This window comes from Homo sapiens, chromosome 4 (assembly GCF_000001405.40).
Source record: "Homo sapiens chromosome 4, GRCh38.p14 Primary Assembly".
Lineage (NCBI taxonomy): Eukaryota > Metazoa > Chordata > Mammalia > Primates > Hominidae > Homo > Homo sapiens.
The window spans coordinates 109545916-109566121 of NC_000004.12; the positions used below are offsets into that span (position 1 = coordinate 109545916).

The window sequence follows — 20206 nt, forward strand, 5'->3', positions numbered from 1 at the left end:
GTTATTTAATAACTAAGACCCTGAGTACTGTGTTCACAAGCAAAAAGTGGTCTTTCAAAAGGTTTTTACCAAAAATGTAGTGAACCTAAATCGTCTTCATAGCATTTATGGCACTCTTTTGGGTCATAATCTGGGAAGGAGTGAGGACAAAATTGGGGTGGAGAATGAGTAGGAACCAGAAGAATAACTTTGAAAGGAAAAGAAGGTAAATGTACATCATTACAGGGGCTGTCCTTTGTTCACATCCAGGCTTTGCAAATGCTGCTCCACTGCTTGGAAAACACTGTCTTTCATTCCCTTCCTGGCTTTCTTAGCACTTACTCCTCCTTATCCTTCAGAATTCAGCCTAGGGATCATTACCTCCTGGCAGCTTCTCCTGATGGCTGTCTCATCTGGGTTAAATACTCCTTCCTGTGTGTATCCATAACACATTCTCATCTCTACTGTAGCCCCCATCAGACTGTGTTACAATTGACATTCTCCCTCAAACATGGGAACCAGGTTCTCTTCGTCATAGTGCCCCCTATACCTGACATATAGTAGGCATTTAGTAAATGTTTGTTGAACCAATTTTTCCTAGAGACAGGGTCTTGCTAGGCTAGAGTGCAGTGGTATCGATCATAGCTCACTGCAGCCTCAAACTCCTGGGCTCAAGGGATCCTCCTGCTTCAGCCTCCTGAGCGGCTGGGACTATAGGCATGTACTACCATGCCTGGCTATTTTTGGTAGAGACAAGATATTGCTATGTTGCCCAGGCTGGTACTGAACTCCTGGGCTCAGGCGATCCTCCCACCTCAGCCTCCCAAAGCACTGAGATTACAGGTGTGAGCCACTGTGTCCAGCAGAACCAATGTTATTCCAAGCTAGACAGAAAATGCATTGAAGACCTGTGAATAAAAATAAAGACAGTTTCAGTTGGATAAGAGGAGAAACATACTATACTACACTAGATAGAAATTGAAAGAAAATCTGACATAGAATGAGAATGGTGCCAGAAGGTAGATAATAAACCTTATGAAAATTCAGGAGTATACCACCTCAAAGTTGAGTTTCAGTGGTCTGGAGCATCTTGCAAAATCCCCACTAATGTAGGAGACAAATTGCTGCTCCCTGTGCCACCTTCTATAATGCGAGGCACAGTGCTTGGTGGCTTTTTTTTTTTTTTGGAAGCTATGTATACAACATTTCAGTGTGTCACTGTACTCCATTACCAAGTAACCTGTAAGGCTGCCAATCTGAGGTGTGGTTAGAGCAAAAGAAGCCTCTACATCAACTCAGACTTCAGTGCAAACTGCTTTGCCACATGGGCTTTATTGACCCAGCAGATCCAACTTGGGAGTGTCTGCGGCAAATACAAATGCCACATCAAGCCTCAACTGGAGAGTCAGACTTCTCTAGGGTTTTAGAGCAGAGCCATACCCTCTTCTGCAAAAAAACAAAAAAAAAAAGCAAAAAAAAAAACTTACCTTTGTGAGAGAAGCTCTTATATTGCTATTAAGCTGTCTACTACAGGATGTCAAATGTCCTTGGGATCTATGCTGACCAGTGTGAACCAAGCAGTAGAAGTGAACATGCACAATAGCGATCTATCGTTAAGTGGCAGCTTAACGTTAGTATATAAGGGATTAGGCTCAGCAGATCCTGAAGTCAGTTGCACGAGCTGGCAGCTCTGACTCATGACACCTGCTCCTGCTGCATGGCTTCCTTTCCCTGCATTCGCATTTATGGCCTCATGGGGATGTTTTCCTATAATCAGTTAAGGGAGAAACTAAAACCTGAATTTAAGACAAAGTGCTGGCATCAACTGGTCTGCTATAGTATTAGTCTAATAATAAAGAAATCCTCTTTGTGGGCAAAACTTCAAGCAGTACATTGATCGCCACTTTGTCTAGACTATATAGATCTCAAAAGATGTAGATCTATGTAGCTTCATAGGCAATGGCAAATGACTAGATGACAAAGGTCTTGGTAGGAACAGGATTAGAAAATTGGTGACAAGGAGGTTTGGAGAAGAGGGATTTGAATGAACGTCACGAAATGGACACAGCAAATGAGATAATTATGTTCCATATCAATGCACCCCAAAGGGCATCTGCAGCAAAATTTGTCCATCTCAATCAGGTGGAGAAGGTGACCCATCCTGTGAATATCAGCCTCTTTCTGTAGCCACCCCAGTATTTGCTCAATGGTTCATGTACAAAGTTGCCATACTTGTAAAGATAGAAGCTATGTGTGGGCTAAATATTATGGATGTCCCTTCACCAAGGCTGATCTGGCTACTGCCACTGTTATTTCTAAGCATTGTCAGCTGAGACCTTCTTTGATTCCTCAATATGGCATCATTCCTTGGGGAAAACTAGTAGCCACCTGATATGTTGATTACATTGTACCCCTTTGATCATGGAGCATTTGTCCTCAATGGAATAGACAAACAACCTGGATATGGATTTGCCTGCCCTGCTTGCAGTGTTTCTGCTACCACCACCATCTGTGGGCTTACAGAATGCCTTCATCATTGCCATATGACCTCCACAACATTGCTTCTGATCAAGGAACTCATAGCAAAAGAAGTGTGTTAATGGGAATTCACTGCTCTTACTACAACCTGTCACCCTGATGTGGTTTGGATTTGTGTCCCTGCCCAAATCTCATGTCGAATTGTAATCCCCAAGGTTGGAGGAGGGGCCTGGTGGGAGGTGATTAGATTGGATCATGGGAGCAGATTTCCCCCTTGCTGTTCTTGTGATATTGAGTTCTTATGAGATCAGATTGTTTAAAAGTGTGTAGCACCTACCCCTGATCTCTCTTCCTTCTTCTCTGGTCATGTAAGACGTGCCTGCTTCCCCTTTGCCTTTGGCCGTGATTGTACATTTCCTGGGGCCTCCCCAGTCATGCTTCCTGTACAGCCTGTGGAATTGTGAGTCAGTTAAGCCTTTTATGTCTAAATTACCCAGTCTCAAGTAGCTCTTTATAGCAATGCAGGAACAGACTACTACATACCCCAAAAAGCAGCTGACCTGGCAGAAAGGTGGAATGTTCTTCTGATGACTCAGTTATGGTGATGGTTGGAGTATCATCCTACAGGATACAGTATATGCTTTGAATAAGCAACCAACATTTTTCCCCTGTAGCCAGACACACAGGTCTAAGAATCAAGAATTGAAAGTGAAATCATTCCCTTAATATAGTCCCCAAATTTTAGGGTCTTAGTTTACAAAGGAGAGATGCTTAGTTCTCAAAGGGACACAGCAATGTTCCCACTGTATTGGAAGTTACGAGTATTACCTAGCCATTTTGGGTTCCTTTTGTCAACAACCAGAAGAAGAATCATCCTGATTATGAAGAGGAATTGATTTGCTGTGACATAATGGGGCAAGGAGGACTATATCGAAAATCTAGAGGATTTTTCCAGAGTGCCTCGTAATACTTCTATGTTCAGTACTAAAAGTTAAAGAAATATAGCAGCCTAATAAAAGAATGGATCACTAATGATTCAAACTCTTCAAAAGTAAGATTTGCATCTCCCACCAGGTAAAGAATGCCAACCAACCAACATTCCGTACTGTGCTGAAGGGAAATTAGAAGACAGTCTGAGAGGTATAGTGGGAATAAATTTGATAGTGAAAAAGAATTCAGTTCTAGCACTGGATCTGTCACATTATGTTAGACTGACTGTAATAGAAAGAATATGGGTTTGCAAGCCAAACAGAACAAAATTTGAATTATAGTTCCTCTGTTAGCTGTGTTACCTGGGGTAAGTTTCTAAACTTCTCTGAGCTTTCATATCCCTACTAGAGAATAATGGTTCCTTGGTAAGAGTTTTGTGAGAATTATATGGAACGAGTATGTAAAGTTTCTTGTGCAGCACCTTACTTGTAGTAAATACTTGATAAATGGCAGTCAATGTCTTAACAAAATAACAGCACAACAGTAATAATAGTAATAATACTCCCACATTGAGCCTGCCCTTTGCCCTCCTATCACTTTCCACCTTCACTGCAATTATTCCACACTGGACATGGAAAACCAAAATATTATCATGTGGGCTGCTGCTACCTCCACTTTTACTGTGATCGATGTATTAACTACACTTTTTTGCTTCAGACCATCCAGTACAGATGGGTATACAGAAAGAAGCAAGTAGTCTTAGTTCATTACATGTACATAACATCAGACTTCAAAACTCGATGCTCACCAGTAAGTCACAATTGTGGGTTTTTTTTTGTTTGTTTGTTTTTGCTATCAGGTTTATTCCAAAAAGACTTTCTCAGGCTTTTGACCTATCTCTTTATTACAATAGTGGTTATGACCTCTTAAGCCTCTGAGCCTGTAAACATGCTGTTCCTCCTGCTAAGAACTCATCTTTACTTTTTTATCTGGTTAGCTGCTCTTCCTCCTTCAGTTATTAGTGTGTACTGATGCCAGCCTGTCCCTTACCACTAGCTTAGGTGGGGTCTCCCTGCTGTATGTTCACATAGCCCTTGTAGTTTTACTCTTATAACCTTTATGTCACTCTACTTAATTACTTGTTCACTAGGTGAACAAGCTTCCCCACTAGGTTCTGTGTAAGGAAGAACACAGAACTCATCTTTAAAAAAAAAAGTTCTTAAGTGTCAATTTTTTAAATTTTTTTTTATTTCAATAGTTTTGTGGGGTACAGGTGGTTTTGGTTACATGGATAAGTCCTTCAGTGGTGATTTCTGTGATTTTGATGCACCCATCACCATTACCCAAGCAGTATACACTGTACCTAATATGTAGTCTTTCTTTCTTTTTTTTTTTTTTTTTGAGTTGGAGTCTTGCTCTGTCACCCAGGCTGGAGTGCAGTGGCCAATCTTGGCTCACTGCAACCTCTGCCTCCCAGATTCAAGCGATTCTCATGCCTCAGCCACCCGAGTAACTGCGACTACAGGCACACACGACCATGCCCGGCTAATTTTTGTATTTTTAGTAGAGATGGAGTTTTGCCATTTTGGCCAGGCTAGTCTTGAACTCCTGGCCTCAAGCGATCCATCCGCCCCGGCCTCCCAAAGTGCTGGGACTACAGGCATGAGCCACCGTGCCTGACCCCACTATGTAGTCTTTTATCCCTCACCCCCACCCAACCTTCCCCACACCTGAATCCCCAAAGTACATTATATCATTCTTACATCTTTGCATCCTCATAGCTTAGCCCCTGCTTATAAGCGAGAACATACTATATTTGGTTTTCCATTCTGGAGTTATTTCACTTAGAATAATGGCCCCCAGCTCCATCTAAGTTGCTACAAAGGACATTATTTTGTTTTTTATGGCTGAGTAGTATTTCATGGTGTGTGTATATATATATACACACCACATTTTCTTTATTTACTTGGGTGATGGGCATTCAGGTTTGTTCCATATTTTTGCAGTTGCAAATTGTGCTTCTGTAAACGTGTGTGCACGTGTCTTTTTCATATAATGAATTCTTTTCCTTCGAGTAGATACACAGTAGTGGGATTGGGATTGCTGGATTGAATGGTAGATCTACTTTTAATTCTTTAAGGAATCTTCATATTGTTTTCCATAGTGGTTGGACTAGTTTACATTAGCACCAGCAGTATAAAAGTGTTTTCTTTTCACCACATCTACACCAACATCTATTGTTTTTTCACTTCTTAATTATGGCTATTCTTGCAGGAGTAAGTTGGTATCTCATTGTGGTTTTAATTTGCATTTCCCTGATAATTAGTGATGTTGAGCATTTTTTGATATGTTTGTGGGCTGTTTGTATAAGCTTTTGAGAATTGTCTATTCACATCCTTTGCCCACTTTTTGATGGGATTATTTGTGTTTTTCTTGCTGATTTGTTTGAGTTCTTTGTAGATTCTGGATATTAGTCCTTTGACAAATACATAGTTTGTGAATATAGAAACTCATCGTTTTTATTCATCACTCTACCATCAGCCTAGAACAGTGTCTGGCAAATCCTCATGTACTACTAACCACAAGTTTGTGTGTTTCTATTATTTTTAAAAGTGGCTGTAGTTTTTTGGGGTTTGTTTTTTTGTTTGTTTGTTTTTTTTGAGACAGATTCTTGCTCTGTCACCCAGGCTGGAGTGCAATGGAGTGATCTCGGCTCACTGCAACCTCTGCCTCCCAGGTTCAAGAGATTCTCCTGTCTCAGCCTCCCGAGTAGCTGGGATTACAGGTGCACACCACCATGCCTGGCTAATTTTTTGTATTTTAGTATAGATGGGGTTTCACCATGTTGCCCAGGCTGGTCTCAAACTCCTGAGCTCAGGCAATCCACCCACCTCGGTCTCCCAAAGTGCTAGGATTATAGGCGTGAGCCACTGTGCCCAGCCTAAGGGCGGTTGTAGTTTTAAAGTCCTGTTTTATTATTGATCTATTAAATTTATTCAGCAGATATTTGAGAACCTACTACTTAGGTGCTGGTGATAGAGCAGTGAACAAAACAGACAAGGTCCCTTCTGTCATGGAGCTTACATTCCAGTTGGGGGAGACAGATTTTAAAAGTATGTAATATGTCAGGTAATGATTAAATGCTAAAGGGAAAAAAAAGCAGAGTAAGGGCTAACTGGCAGGAAGTAGAAGTTAATGCAACCAACCGCATCTCAGCTCACTGCAACCTCCGCCTGCTGGGTTCAAGCGATTCTCCTGCCTCAGTCTCCCGAGTACCTGGGATCACAGGTGACTGCCACCACGCCCAACTAATTTTTGTATTTTTTTAGTAGAGACGGGGTTTCACCATGTTGGCCAGGGTGGTCTCGAACTCCTGACCTCAGGTGATTCACCCGCGTCGGCCTCCCAAAGTGCTGGGATTACAGGTGTGAGCCACTGCACCCAGCCAACCCCATTTTTAAAAGTTTTTTTTTTCTTTTTTTTAAACAAGAGAAAATAGATACATGTTGGTCAGTGCTAACTGTCCATATTCACATAGACACACAGTGTACTTTCTGAGCCCAATATACAGAGAAAGGAGGCAAGAAGCTAGAATTCTATGCACTGCTACGCAGGAGCCTAGCACCCTCCAGCTTCCAGCAGAGCGAAGGGAGCAGGTTTTTCTTTTTTCCCACAGAACTTGGTGGTGTTGATTCCATACAGTTTTTATTCAGACAGGAAGGGATAAAAATGAATTTCGAACAGAAAGGGGTAGAGACTCTTTTCTCAATGTAGTCTGCTCAAGATATTTCCCCCAATTAAGTGTAGAGAAAAGAGACCTCAAGAATAGGGCGACTGAGCACAGGAGGCAAAAACAAAACAAAATAAAACAGACTACAACTTGCTCCCAGGGACTGGAGAAAATTTAAAAAGGGGAAGGTTGGAATCCATCAGTATTCTATTAGTCATCTCTTTCATCCTTCTCTCCTTCCTCCCCTTCATCATCATCTTCTTCACCTTCATCTTCATCCCCTTCTTCATCAGTGTCTTCTAATCCTTCCTCCTCCTCCTCATTATCATCTTCTCCTTCTTCATCATCCATATGGGGAACCAAGTAGTACTGTAATGGGTTTGGCCAAATATCATCTTTGATGTCCTCTCCTAAGTCATCGGCCCCTGCATCAGAATGGTCAGTAAACCAGGTCAAGAAGCTCTCTGGTGCCTCATGCTGCCTCTTCCTGCTGGCTTTATTCTGCATTTGACTTAAACGTTTCGTCACATCCTTTCCAGATTTCCATTTGATTTCAGTGGATTTTGAAGATGGATTACCACTCTCATTCAGATGAAATTCTTTGGAGAGAACTTTATTTTCAAAGTAAGGATTTTCATCAAAATAAAAATCTACTCTGTAACCTGATTTAATATCTTCAAATTCTGTCACTTCAACTCTGGTCAAATAATGCAATGTCTCTTCGTTTTCCTTCCCAAGCAGTGCAGACACTTGTAAATGATTGCCAAATGTTGTTACCCCCAAATTTAGGATTTTAGAGATCAATTCTGACCTCTTCTGAAAAAATGGTTGGCGGAGTTTGTTATATTTCTGTTCTACTTTCAAAATCTCCTCATTGTCTTGTTCATTAAGTCTGTCTATTTCATTTTGTATTTCATCAATGTGTTCAATTGCTTCTTGCTGTTCTTTTTCGCCCTTCTTTGGCAAGCCTACAGAGGCCGAAGTCTCCTCTGGTCTCAGAACAGGAGGTGGTCTTGGTGTCTTCTTTCGAGACAGGAGGGAAGACTGGCATTTGGGGGCCAGGCTGCTAGGGAAGCCCAAGAACCAGACCACCAGTCTCCTTGCTCAGGCAGAAAACTCCAATTTCTTATATTTAATTTCATGAACATAGCTTATATGTTAGCAAGTTTAAGGTCATTTTTGAGATTCCCTTTGAGGCCCACCATGTGGGCATTACATTGTGAATCATCCATATGTGTTTGAAATAATGTGTACTCTCATTTGGGTACAGAGTTCTTTAATACTCTATTAGCAATGGAGGTCCAGGACCTGGAGACAGAATAGGGAAAGGAATATCCTTCTCTATTTACCATTAAAATTCTATCAAAGTGGGAGGCCCAATGGATAACAGGAGTATTCCTGGAAGCCATTCCTACGTGGGCATGGCTAGCAATATCTTAACAATACATAGAAATGACCATGAACCACACAAAAATATCCCACTAAACCCAAAGTAAATGTATCTCCAGCTCAGCTTGCTCTTTGCTTCCTAGAGAGACAGAAAGTAGATTAGTAGTTGCCTGGGGCTGGAGGTAAGAATGGAGAGTGAGGCAAATGAGCCTGAGGAATCTTTCTAGAGTGATGGAAATGTTCTAATTGATTGTGGTGACTGTTGCACAACTCTGTAAATTTGCCAAAAATAACTTTTAATAAATGAAAGTTACGATATGTAGATCATACCTTAATAGAGCTGTTTACAAAGTTTTTTTTTTTTTGAAAAGCGAGATCAGAGATTCGAATGTGAAAAGGCTGTGACATATAAGTAATACTTATGAACTAGCTCACATTGAGTAATCGTTTTGTCTCATCAAGAGTCCTATATACTGTGGGAAAGTTTGTTGTGCACCCGAAACATCTATGTGTGCCGAGCGACTTTGTGGACAGTGCCTCCCCGGTAAACCCGCTCTGTCTGCAGTGTCCGGAGCTTCTCCCACAGGAGTTTGCTAATCCCACCTTTGTGGCCAGATTCTGTGCTGCAAAACGGACATCTCCTCCCCCTCTTCTCCATTCCCCTCCTTCCTAATAAGACTCTTTTCTGGAGAACTGAGGTCAACATCAGATTTCAAATATTTAAAGTGGATACAAAACTATTTCAGCAATGCAGACAATTAGTTGCATTGTTGTGGTCAATGCAGTTGTTGGTAAAACATGTCTCCTGATATCCTACACAACAAATTTCCATCCTAATAGATACAGACTGTTTTTGACAACTATGCACTCACAGTTAGGACTGGTGCAGAGCCATATACTCTTAGACTTTTAATTCTGCAGGGCAAGAAGATTATGACAGACTATAACTCCTGAGTTATCTACACAGATATATTTCTAGTCTGTTTCTCAGTGGTCTCTCCATGTTCATTTTAAAGTATGAAAGAAAAGTGAGGGCCTGAGATAACTCACCACTGTCCAAAGGCTCCTTTCTTGCTTGTCACAACCCAAATTGATCTCAGAGGGTCTATTATTGAGAAAATTACCAAGAACAAATAGAAGCCTATCACTCCAGAGACTGCTGAAAAGCCGGCCCACAACCTGAAGGCTGTCAAGTATATGGACGGTCCTGTACCCACACAGCAAGATCTAAAGAATGGATTTGACAAAGCAATATTGGCTGTCCTGGAGCCTCCAGAACTGAAGAAGAGCTGGAAGCCTATGCTGCTATGAACATCTCTCCAGAGCCCTTTCTGCACAGCTGGTGTAGGCATCATACTAAAAGCAATGTTTAAATCAAACAAAAGATTAAAAATTAAAATTCATTTATGCAATAATGACAAATACCCTGCACCAACCCACATGCATCCATGTGAGACAGGGATTAGAGGTATGGCCCACTTCTCCCTCCCAATACTAGTTAATTCTGAGTAATTGTGTATTGTTAGAAAAGTGATCAGTACTCATTTTTGGTTTTTGTTTCAAAAAACAATTTTGTTTTTACTTAAAAGCAAGGCATGCTTGTGATGACTGTGTAACAGACTAATTGGAATTGTTGAAGCTGCTCCCTGGGTCCATTCTGGAGGGTAATCTGGGACATCTTAGTGGGGTTTTATTTTTTTCTTTTTTGGAGGAGGAGTGTTTGTAGGGTTTGTTTTTTAGTCTTTTTTCTTTTCTTTTCTTTTCTCTTTTTTAATTCATTAACCAGTGGTCAGTCCTTAAGAGGAGAAGGACGGATTGACTCCATATTCGACTTCCTAAATCTAGTTTAAAAAACATGTTCCCTATCTGGGGTGCTTTTAGGAAAGAATATAGTAAATGCCTTATTTAATAACATACCTCTTTTTGAAAGTTACCTTTTCTCTCCACCCTTGAGTAGGCTCAGTATTTGATGAAACTCATGAAAGTGGGTGAAAATTCTCTTGCCCCTGTTCTTTTCTGGGATGCACTAAATATGTGACTGTGACTTTCAAGGAAATTTGTTTGCCGGTTGCTGATTTTTGGGGAAGTTAATTTCTAACTTCTTTAACTGATGAATAAAGAAAAGTATTGCACCTTTGAAATGCAACAAGTGGATTGAGTTTGTAACTTAAAAAAACTTTTTTCCCTGTCAGTCATTGTCTTATATTATTATAGATTTGCAATCAATAGTATATGATGTTTCTAGAATGCAGCTGAAGACCTGGTATGTAGAGGCAATGTGAAGAGCGGTAGCAGAAGACCGACATCTATGGAATGATTCACAGCCTCTCAAGTTATAAGGATGGAGACCTGCTTCATGAAGAAGTTGGGGTGTGGTGGGGATGGATAGAACACTTAACAACATGAGATCAGTCAGGGGAATCTCCTCACTTCTGTGTAGCAGACGAGGAACCCAAGAGCCCCCAAATGAGGCTCTCTGGTTTGTTTTTTTTTTTGAGATGGAGTCTTGCTCTGTCGCCCAGGCTGGAGTGTAGTGGCACAACCTCGGCTCACTGCAACCTCTGCCTCCCCGGGGTCAAGCAATTCTCCTCCCTTAGCCTCCCGAGTAGCCAGGACTACAGGCACGTTCCACCACGCCCGGCTAATTTTTGTATTCTTAGTAGAGACAGGGTTTCACCAATGTTGGCCAGGCTGGTCTTGAACTCCTGATCTTGTGATCCGCCCGTCTTGGCCTCCCAAAGTGCTGGGATTACAGGCATGAGCCACCACGCCTGGCTGGCTCTCTGGTTTAATAAAAATTGTGTAAAGAATCTTATTGAAAGGTGACAATGTGCTGGCGGCCCTCGCTGGCTCTCAGCGCCTCCTTGGCCTCAGAGTCCGCTCTGGCCATGCTTGAGGAGCCCTTCAGCCCGCTGCTGCACTGTGGGAGCCCCTCTCCAGGCTTGCGGAAGCTGGTACCAGCTCCCTCTGCTTGCAGGGAGGTTGAGGGAGAGACGCGGGTGGGAACCGGGGCTGCATGTGGCCTTGCGGGACAGCGCGAGTTCCGGGTGGGCGTGGGCTCCGTGGCCCCGCACTCGGAGGGCGGCCGGCACCCCCGGCCCGGGCAGTGAAGGGCTTAGCACCTGGGCCAGCAGCTGCAGAGGGGGGCGTCAGGTCCCCCAGCACTGCCAGCCGGCCCGCGCCACGCTCAAATTCTCACCAGGCCTCAGCCACCTCCCCATGGGGCAGGGCTCGGATCTGCAGCCCGCCATGTGCAAGTCCCCCCGCGGTGGGCTTCTGCTAGGCCCTAGCCTCCCTGAGGGGCACCGCCCCTGCCTCAGCGGCGTCCAGTCCCATTGACTGCCCAAGGGCTGCTGAGTGCAGGCACGAGGCACGAGCGCAGGACTGGCAAGCAGCTCAGCCCGCAACCCTGGCATGGCATCCACTAGGGGAAGCCAACTGGGCTCCTGAGAGGGGTGGGGACTTGGAGAACTTTTATGTCTAGTTAGAGGATTGTAAATGCACCAATCAGCACTCTGTCTAGCTAAAGGTTTGTAAATGCACCAATCAGTGCTCTGTGTCTAGCTCAGGGTTCGTGGATGCACCAATCAGCACTCTGTATCTAGCTAATCTCCTGGGGACTTGGAGAACCTTTATGTCTAGCTAAAGGATTGTAAACACACCAATCAGCACCCTGTGTCTAGCTCAAGGTTTGTAAATGCACCAATCAGTGCTCCGTGTCTAGCTAATCTAGTGGGGACTTGGGGAACCTTTATATCCAGTTAAAGGATTGTAAATACACCAATCAGCACTCTGTATCTAGCTCAGGGATTGTAGACACATCAATCAGCACCCTGTCAAAACGGACCAATCAGCGCTCTGTAAAATGGACCAATCAGCAGGATGTGGGTGGGGCCAGATGGGGGAATAAAAGCAGGCTGCCAGAGCCAGCAGTGGCAACCTGTCTGGGTCCCGTGCCACGCTCTAGAAGCTTTGTTCTTTTGTTGTTTGCAATAAATCTTGCTGCTGCTCACTCTTTGGGTCTGCACTGCCTTTATGATCTGTAACACTCACCGTGAAGGTTTGCAGCTTCATTTCTGAGGCCAGTGAGACCCGAACCCACTGGGAGGAATGAACAACTCCGGACGCGCCACCTTAAGAGCTGTAACACTCACTGCCAAGGTCTGCAGCTTCACTCCTGAAGCCAGCGAAACCACTGAACCCACCAGGAGGAAGAAACTCCAAACATGTCCGAACATCAGAAAGAACAAACTCCGGACACGCTACCTTTAAGAACTGTAACACTCACCACCAGGGTCCGCGGCTTCATTCTTGAAGTCAGTGAGACCAAGAACCCACCAATTCAGGACACATTATCAAGATTCTTCACAAATGTTAATAGGGATTTTTATCAGTTTTAGTTGTAGTTTCCAATTTCTAAAAATGTTCAGGTAATTTTTTTACACCTTTCAGAACCTAGCTCATGAGTGTTGAATCAATGCTTTTTCATGTCAATTCTTTGTATAGGCATTCTTTTCAGTTGTATTAAACAAGAACCCTTCACAACAAAAAAACAAAAATACACGCTTCTTTCACTTGGAGCACTAGCTAATAGGAGGAAAAGATTCAGGTAAGGTAATTTACCTTCCCATATGAACTTAAAGTTTCATGTGTCACTCTCCATCTGGGGCAACTGTATTTTGAAAGACATGCTAGTTAACACAGGTGAATCAGCCTTTAATAGTGATAAAGTTTTTACTATAGTAGAAACTTGTGATTCTTTCCCTTTTCAATAAGGAAAGGAGATTACCGCCAGGAGTGATTTGCCACTTATTGCAGGTTTGCCAATTTTGATTCATTAACTGAACCCTCTTGCAGATTCAGGAGATAAAAATGCGGAGTGCCCAGTTAAATTTGAATTCAGATAAACACCAAATAATTTAGTATATCCCAGATATTTCATTTTTAAAATAATAAATGTGACCCATGCAATATTTGGGACATACTTCACTATTTGTATCTAAAATTCAAGTTTAACTGGGCATCCTATATTTTATCTAACAACCCTACTGTAATTGGTTTAGGTTGCTCTTTAATGCCTTTGGTTTGCTTTCAAAAATAAGTAGTCTCAAAACAAAGCATCCGATTTCCCAGTAGTTAGAAGAACTCAATACCGGTTCCGAAGCTTCTTCAATTAAAAACGTGCTTCAAAAGAGAAGCCAATTCTGTGGGAGATACTTTCCCAAAAAACTCGGGTTTGGGCCCCTATACCGTGAACTACAAACCTCCGCAGGGGTAGGCCCGGGCTGCCCGCCTCACACCGCACTCGCCAGCGAGCAGGGGCCCGGCACCGCAGCCCGGGGCAGAGGCCTTGGAGGTTGTGGAGGTGGGAGAGGCCTCGGCCGACCCGCTTCAATCCGTCTTCTCCAAGCTCGGTGGGGAAAACAAACTTCCTGAGCGGCCCTGCCCCCTCCAGATGCCGGACGCTGTTTTCGTCTCATCCCCGTCTGGGTTGGATGGCGAAGACGGCGCTCAGAGCACGCAGCACCGGGAATTAACAGCGAGTTTTGAAATCTAGAGCTCGCAAGGTGTGCGTCGCCTGCTGCTGTTCATTCCAGAGGGTCTTCTGCTGGAGAAGGAGGGGGCCCTCGACCTCGGGCTCCCGCTCTCGGGCTCCCGCTCTCTCGCTCTCTTTTTTTTTTTTTTTTTTGGTCGGAGGAAAGAAAACAGCCCTGCGCCCGGATGCGTAGAGAGCCGACAAGTGGAAACAGGGACACACCCTCCCGTGAGCCCGCCCAAGCTGGAGCCGCGGCGCGCTGAGCGAGCAGGCGGGGCGGGAGCGCCCACAGCTCGGAGCCACCAGGCGCTGACGAGGAGCCCGGCTGAGGGAGGATGCGCCGCTGACGCCTGCGGGAGCCGCGCGCCTGGGGCGGGAGGATGCTCCAGAGGGGCCTCTGGCCGTGGCGCACGCGGCTGCTGCCGACCCCTGGCACCTGGCGCCCAGCGCGCCCGTGGCCGCTGCCGCCTCCGCCCCAGGTAAGAGCGGGTGCCGGGCTGTGGGGGTTCGGGGTAGGCTGGTGCAAAGTTTGCGTTGGACAACTTTGGCGGGAGCAAAAGCCGAGCGGCCGAGCAGTCAACTGCGTTTTGCTGGCTGCCGGGCTCCGCGCGCCGGGCGGTCCCGACAGGTGGTGGCCGGGCGGCCGACGTGGGTCACGGAGGCCTGGGCTGAGGTCAAGACTCCGGGCCCGGGGAAGGTGAAGCCAGAGCGCTGCGGCTGGGGGTGCCTCACCCGGGCCGAGATAGGGTGCGGGGACCACCAGACTTCGGCCTGGGAGCAGCAGAATAACCTGGGAGGCAGTTTCTGGGCTGCAGCTCTCGGTCAGGAGCAAGTTTCCAAAGCCGCTGCGCCGCGGGGCCGGTTCCCTCTTGGTGATCAGTGCCCGAGCCCCTAAGGAGCCCGGAAACGATGAACGGGGCAGTGACCGTCCCGGGTGTGGACGGTCGCAGGAGAGTGAAATTTCCATCCTGAAATCTGCGAGCACCTCCCTTTCCCAGAAGGAAGAAAAACTCGCGTTTTGTTCAGACACCCGAGAGACGGGTGAATCATGAGTGTGCTGGTGAGTAACAGTTGGCCTGACACCGTTGTATTGTGGTCTGTGGAGAACCGTGGCTTGGAGGAGTAGAGAGTGGATGTGCACCAAAAAAGACTAGAAGAAGGGGAAAGCGCTGAGTTTAAGGAGGATTGCGATGGAGCCTGACAGGAGCCCGGGAGTGCAAACTCTGACCCAGATGAGGAAAGACAGCCAAAGCCTTCAGGGTGTGTGTGGTTGGGGAGGGAGCTGTTTCTGAGTTTTCGTTTGTTCCTCCCCCACACTGTTAAGATTACTTTCAGATTGTTAAAGGCTTAAAAGCCAAAAAGTAAGCAGTGTGATTCTCTTGTCACTTTCACTTCCTGTTTATTTTGTTCTTTTTTTTCCTTCCCCCCCTTTTCCTCCAGCTGTCTGAGGGCTTCAGTTTCAATTGATGCAGGGAATATTTAAGTGCATTTTTTTTTCCTTTTCATTGAGCTTGTGACCAAAGGATTAAGTGCATTCAGAAAATCAATTCCAGGAATGTTTGAAAGAGAATGAGGAAGGCCATGTTGTTACTAAATGTAAGAACAGGGGCAAACTCCTTAAAATGTAAAATGGTAGACTTATAAAGTCATTGGGGAGATGGGCTTTTTATACTTTTAAAGGTTGTACTTTTACTGTAAGTGTTGCATTGTGTAGTCAAAGAGATACCAAACATTAAAACAACCCAATACGAGGAACCCCTTTCACATGCCATTTTAAACACAGATTATTGTTTTTTGTTGTTGTTTTTGGAGACGGAGTCTTGCTCTGTTACCCAGGCTGGAGTGCAGTTGTGCGATCTCGGCTCACTGCAACTTCCGCCTCCTGGGTTCAAGCGATTCTCCTACCTCAGCCTCCCCAGAAAATAGGATGACCGGCGCGCGCCACCGCACCCGGCTAATTTTTGTATTTTTAGTAGAGACGGGGTTTCACCATGTTGGCCAGACTGGCTGGTCTCGAACTCCTGACGTTGTGATCCGCCCGTCTCAGCCCCGCAAAGTGCTGGGATTACAGGGGTGAGCCACCGCGACCAGCCCCAAGTGTTTTCTATTAAGTCCATTTAACACGTTGAGTAGCATTTTTGTGGATCCCGGGACTGGCTGCCCTTTCTCAAATTATCACCTGCAAATCCTTTTCTCCATATTTCCCATCTGATGCTGTCTAGGGTGGTGCCATTGCATACCTCAGCAGGAATGTGGATACCCTTTTAAAAGAAAATGGTACCATCGGGCTTATTAGGCCTAATAACAGGGAAACAGTAGTTAGGAATCATCGTAAGAAGCGTTATGTTTGAATGTTTCTAATTTGCAAATTTTTGTTTTAAGCCAACTGTCCAGCTATAAAGACAATTTTCAGAACTTGAGAAGTGGAAATGCTGTTCTTTATATACAGCTTTTACATTTTACCATGAGTAAACCGATAAAAATATTCTGGCTCTTGAGGAGTTTTAGCTAGGACTACTAAACCATTTTCTGCTAATCAAATTACCTGGCTATCGGGACATTTTTCATTCTAAGATATCACTCTTTTGTGGCTTTCCCACTTGTTATGAAATATCCTGTGGGTAAAGGCAAGTATTATTTCTATTTATTTTTTTTCCCAGAAACATTCAGACCCCTAGAGCCTATGAAGCAGCTAGAAAAACAAGTAGTTTGTGACCTGACAGCTCATAAAATCTTAGCTTGCAAGGACTTGTCGTAAGCAGTATTTCAAATAAGCGTTCCCAACTATAATTGGTCTTTCTGAAGTCTTTCACACTTCTATGAGTGTGCCTTATAGGAGCATTTAATAACTTTGAAAAATACACAATTCTCATACTTCATATTGTATGTGAGCAATTGTCTGCTAGTGTTTTCTGGGTGAGGGGAAAAAAAAACAGTTTGTTGACATGGATATACAGAATTGTTTTTTAAAGAACACATTTAGTCTGAAGCGTAGTAGAGCAAGAGCATATTGTATTCATCTTTGGGCAAGGCATGGCCTGGTGGCCATAATCACGCTCTGGTGGCAGCATCTCTGCTTGTCAGCACTCTAGCTGAGTGGTTGTCAGGGCAATCCATGGCTCCTGCTGATGTTTCTGTGCACAAAGACTCAGCTTTGAGTAATTGTGGTGCTTGGTGAGTTACATCTGAACAGAAAGCCCTTGCCTAAATGTGCCTTTCTTAATTTGGATTTTGTGCTACTTAGACTGAGAAACTCCCTGATACGATTTCATGTCCCCAGTACAGCATTTGAGTCCATACATAAGCTATGTTTAAAAAATTTTTACATCAAGCACTCTGCAGAGCAGCTTAAGTATCGAGTATGCTTTTTTTAACTTCTAGAAACAAAGCATATGGATGTTTAAATTCCACCACAAGATGTCAACTTAGAAATTGTTTTCATCTTTTTAATTTAATGAACATATCGTTCTTGTTTGACATGTTCCTACTATTCTATCTCTTGTATTTGCAGTTGGTACATTGTATTCTATTCTATAAAACTAACTTCAGAGCCCTCTCCTGAGGAGAGCAATTGGTTAAGTGTTGGTGATTGTATTTACGCTATGGAAAAGACATTGATGCTTTGATCTCAAAGTAATGCTAGACCAGCTTGTCAATTAAATATTAAACATTACCACTTTTGCAGCACTTAAGTATTAGTGTGTTTTTTTTAGATTTTGCTTGTTATTGTGATTAAATGGTATTAGTGCTGTTTTACAGCAAATTCTAAGCTAGGAAATCATTTGTGTCTTGGCAGAAAGATATTTGTTGAATGAGGTACCTGTGAAACTAAGGTAGAAAACCTCGAGCTAAAACTCCTGACCTCGTGATCCTCCTGCCTCAGCCTCCCAAAGTGCTGGGATTACAGGCGTGAGCCACCGCGCCCAGCCCACAGCACTTCTTAAAAAAATAAAAGTAAAGGAAAAAGCCAGACCTAATAATCTACTCAATCTAGTAAATATCATAAGATCCTCAGGAAGAACTCATATTTGTGGGGTGACCCTTGCCAGTCTTCAAGATTTTCCTCTCTAAAGTTTACCACAGCAAAGCTTTGTGAACCTGTCAGTTTCTTGATATGAGATTCAATGTTTTATGTCATTTCTTATTTATTTCTGCTTATAGGCTATATGCATTTCTTTCTTTTCTTTTTTTTTTGAGACGGAGTCTTGCTCTGTCGCCAAGCTGGAGTGCAGTGGCGCAATCTCAGTTCACTGCAACCTCCGCCTCCCGGGTTCAAACGATTCCCCTGCCTCAGCCTCCAAGTAGCTGGGATTACAGGCATGTGCCACCATGGGGGCCAGCTAATTTTTTGTATTTTAGTAGAGACCGGGTTTGGTTTCACCATGTTGGCCAAGATGGTCTCGATCTCCTGACCTCGTGATCTGCCCACCTTGGCCTCCCAAAGTGCTGGGATTACAAGCATGAGACACTGCGCCCGGCTGGCTATATGCATTTCAAGTCTAGCCCCATATCTTGCCTCTCTTTCACTGTTCCCTATTTCTTGCCCTCAAATCTATTCCAAAAAAATTATCTTCAATAGACCTTGTTTATCATGCAGATTTCATAGATGATTTCTCATCAATATTGTGAATCCTGGACTGAAATCTGTTCCCTAAAGAGCTGCCAAAATGCAAACCTGATCTACAATACTTGTAGTGAACCTGTAATTAAGGTAAAAATTATGTAAAATCAACACATCTGGAAGTTTATGACACAGGAAACTCTCAGAACAAATGGTTACAGGGCTTGGTAGTTGATGCAAACTATACTTTAACTCAGGTGGGGATGGGGTAGCAAGGAAATAGGAAGATTTAGAGCAGGTGAGGGCAGCAGGAAGAAAAGAGGAATCCACTTCCATAAGTGAGTGAGGAGAGTAGTAACTTCAGTACTACCATCTTTCTTTGAGAGAGAACTATAGCATCAAAATTAGATTCTTACAGCAACTCCATGCAACACAATCAATATGTATTGAGCACCTTCGATGGGCAAAGCAGCAAAAAGACAAAGTGAACAAGAAAGAGACTGGTCTGCCACACTTCCACAATTAACTACTTAGAACATATTTGTTCAAGTATTAAAGAGTTGATTTTTATTTAAAACCTTATTTATGCATCACTTTTTTCCCATTAAAAGATGCTTATGGAAAAATGGGTGGTGATATGACCAGAGGAAAATGAAGGTAGAGAAGATGAAACTATGAGTACTGTAAATACATAACATGCATGGCATAGGTCTTTCACATTTGTTAGAAGTGGGTCAAAAATCTGATCCTCAGCGTTCTGACAGCCATTGCATAAACAACACCACTGGCTATACGCTTCACTGTCTGTATAATATACACTGCATCTGCTCTGGAGAAACCCAACTATTCTAATATTAAGACTAGACAGCAATTTCTTCCATGGGTCCTCTTAATGGGTACCTTTAACTGACTACCAATGTTTCATCAACCTCTTTTTTCAAAGGTATGCCAATGTGGAAAATTCAGTGAAAACATTTGGGTGAAGGTTCCTATGCCACAAAGTTAAATACTTAGCTCAGAGAACAGCGAGCTGGTGTGTGTTTAAAAAACAAGGAAAATTAATACTGTTAAAGTAAATGCGATAAAAAAAGATTCTTCTAGAATATGGCTGAGATAATGCTGTTTCGTTCATTATCTAATGGTTGATAACTTCTAGGATAACCTAAGATGTCTGTTATATAAAGCTTTTAGGGTTCTGACGATAATCCTGAATAAGAAATACTTCACAGATAAAAACACTGGTAACAGAATGAAGCATTAGAGAGAGACTTACTCTAATTCATTATGATATGCGAAACCCATCAAATAAATTTTCATTTCTTTTTTTTTTTTTTTTTGAGACAGGGTCATGCTCTTGTTGCCCAGGCTGAAGTGCAATGCTGTAACACAGTTCACTGCAGCCTCAACCTCGTGGGTTCAAGCGATCCTCCCACCTCACCCTCCGAAAGTAGCTGGGACTACAGGCAGGCACACACCACCATGCCTGGCTAATTTTTTGTGTTTTGTTTGTTTGTTTTTGTAGAGACAAGGTCTCACTATGTTGCCCAGGCTGGTCTCAACCCTGTGGGCTCAAGTGATCCTCCTGCCTTGGCCACCCAAAGTG

At 43.6% G+C, this 20206-nt stretch overlaps 1 protein-coding gene and 2 pseudogenes across 2 annotated transcripts in view, besides 3 other annotated features; 2 read left to right on the forward strand and 1 right to left on the reverse strand.

The window, feature by feature from the left end:
- Nucleotides 2842–2901: an enhancer, noted in NCBI's record as "active region_21802". NCBI's record gives its function as "activates an Ori minimal core promoter by ATAC-STARR-seq in GM12878 lymphoblastoid cells {active_cell/tissue: GM12878}" and the evidence as "EXISTENCE:reporter gene assay evidence [ECO:0000049][PMID:35858748]".
- Nucleotides 7137–8221, reverse strand: SETP20 (SET pseudogene 20; annotated as a pseudogene).
- On the forward strand, nt 9193–9898 carry CDC42P4 (CDC42 pseudogene 4; annotated as a pseudogene).
- Nucleotides 14278–14597: a silencer, noted in NCBI's record as "silent region_15623". NCBI's record gives its function as "represses an Ori minimal core promoter by ATAC-STARR-seq in GM12878 lymphoblastoid cells {active_cell/tissue: GM12878}" and the evidence as "EXISTENCE:reporter gene assay evidence [ECO:0000049][PMID:35858748]".
- The window catches only part of MCUB (mitochondrial calcium uniporter dominant negative subunit beta), a 128474-nt gene continuing 122598 nt past the window's right edge, over nt 14331–20206 (forward strand). The window contains exon 1 of one of the 2 annotated variants that reach the window (XM_006714246.4): nt 14331–15102. In XM_006714246.4, coding sequence (XP_006714309.1) covers nt 15091–15102 — 12 coding nt within the window. In that variant the 5' untranslated portion in view covers nt 14331–15090. The remainder of the gene's footprint in view (nt 15103–20206) is intronic. The other variant, NM_017918.5, reaches the window with a different exon arrangement.
- Nucleotides 15018–15217: an enhancer, noted in NCBI's record as "active region_21803". NCBI's record gives its function as "activates an Ori minimal core promoter by ATAC-STARR-seq in GM12878 lymphoblastoid cells {active_cell/tissue: GM12878}" and the evidence as "EXISTENCE:reporter gene assay evidence [ECO:0000049][PMID:35858748]".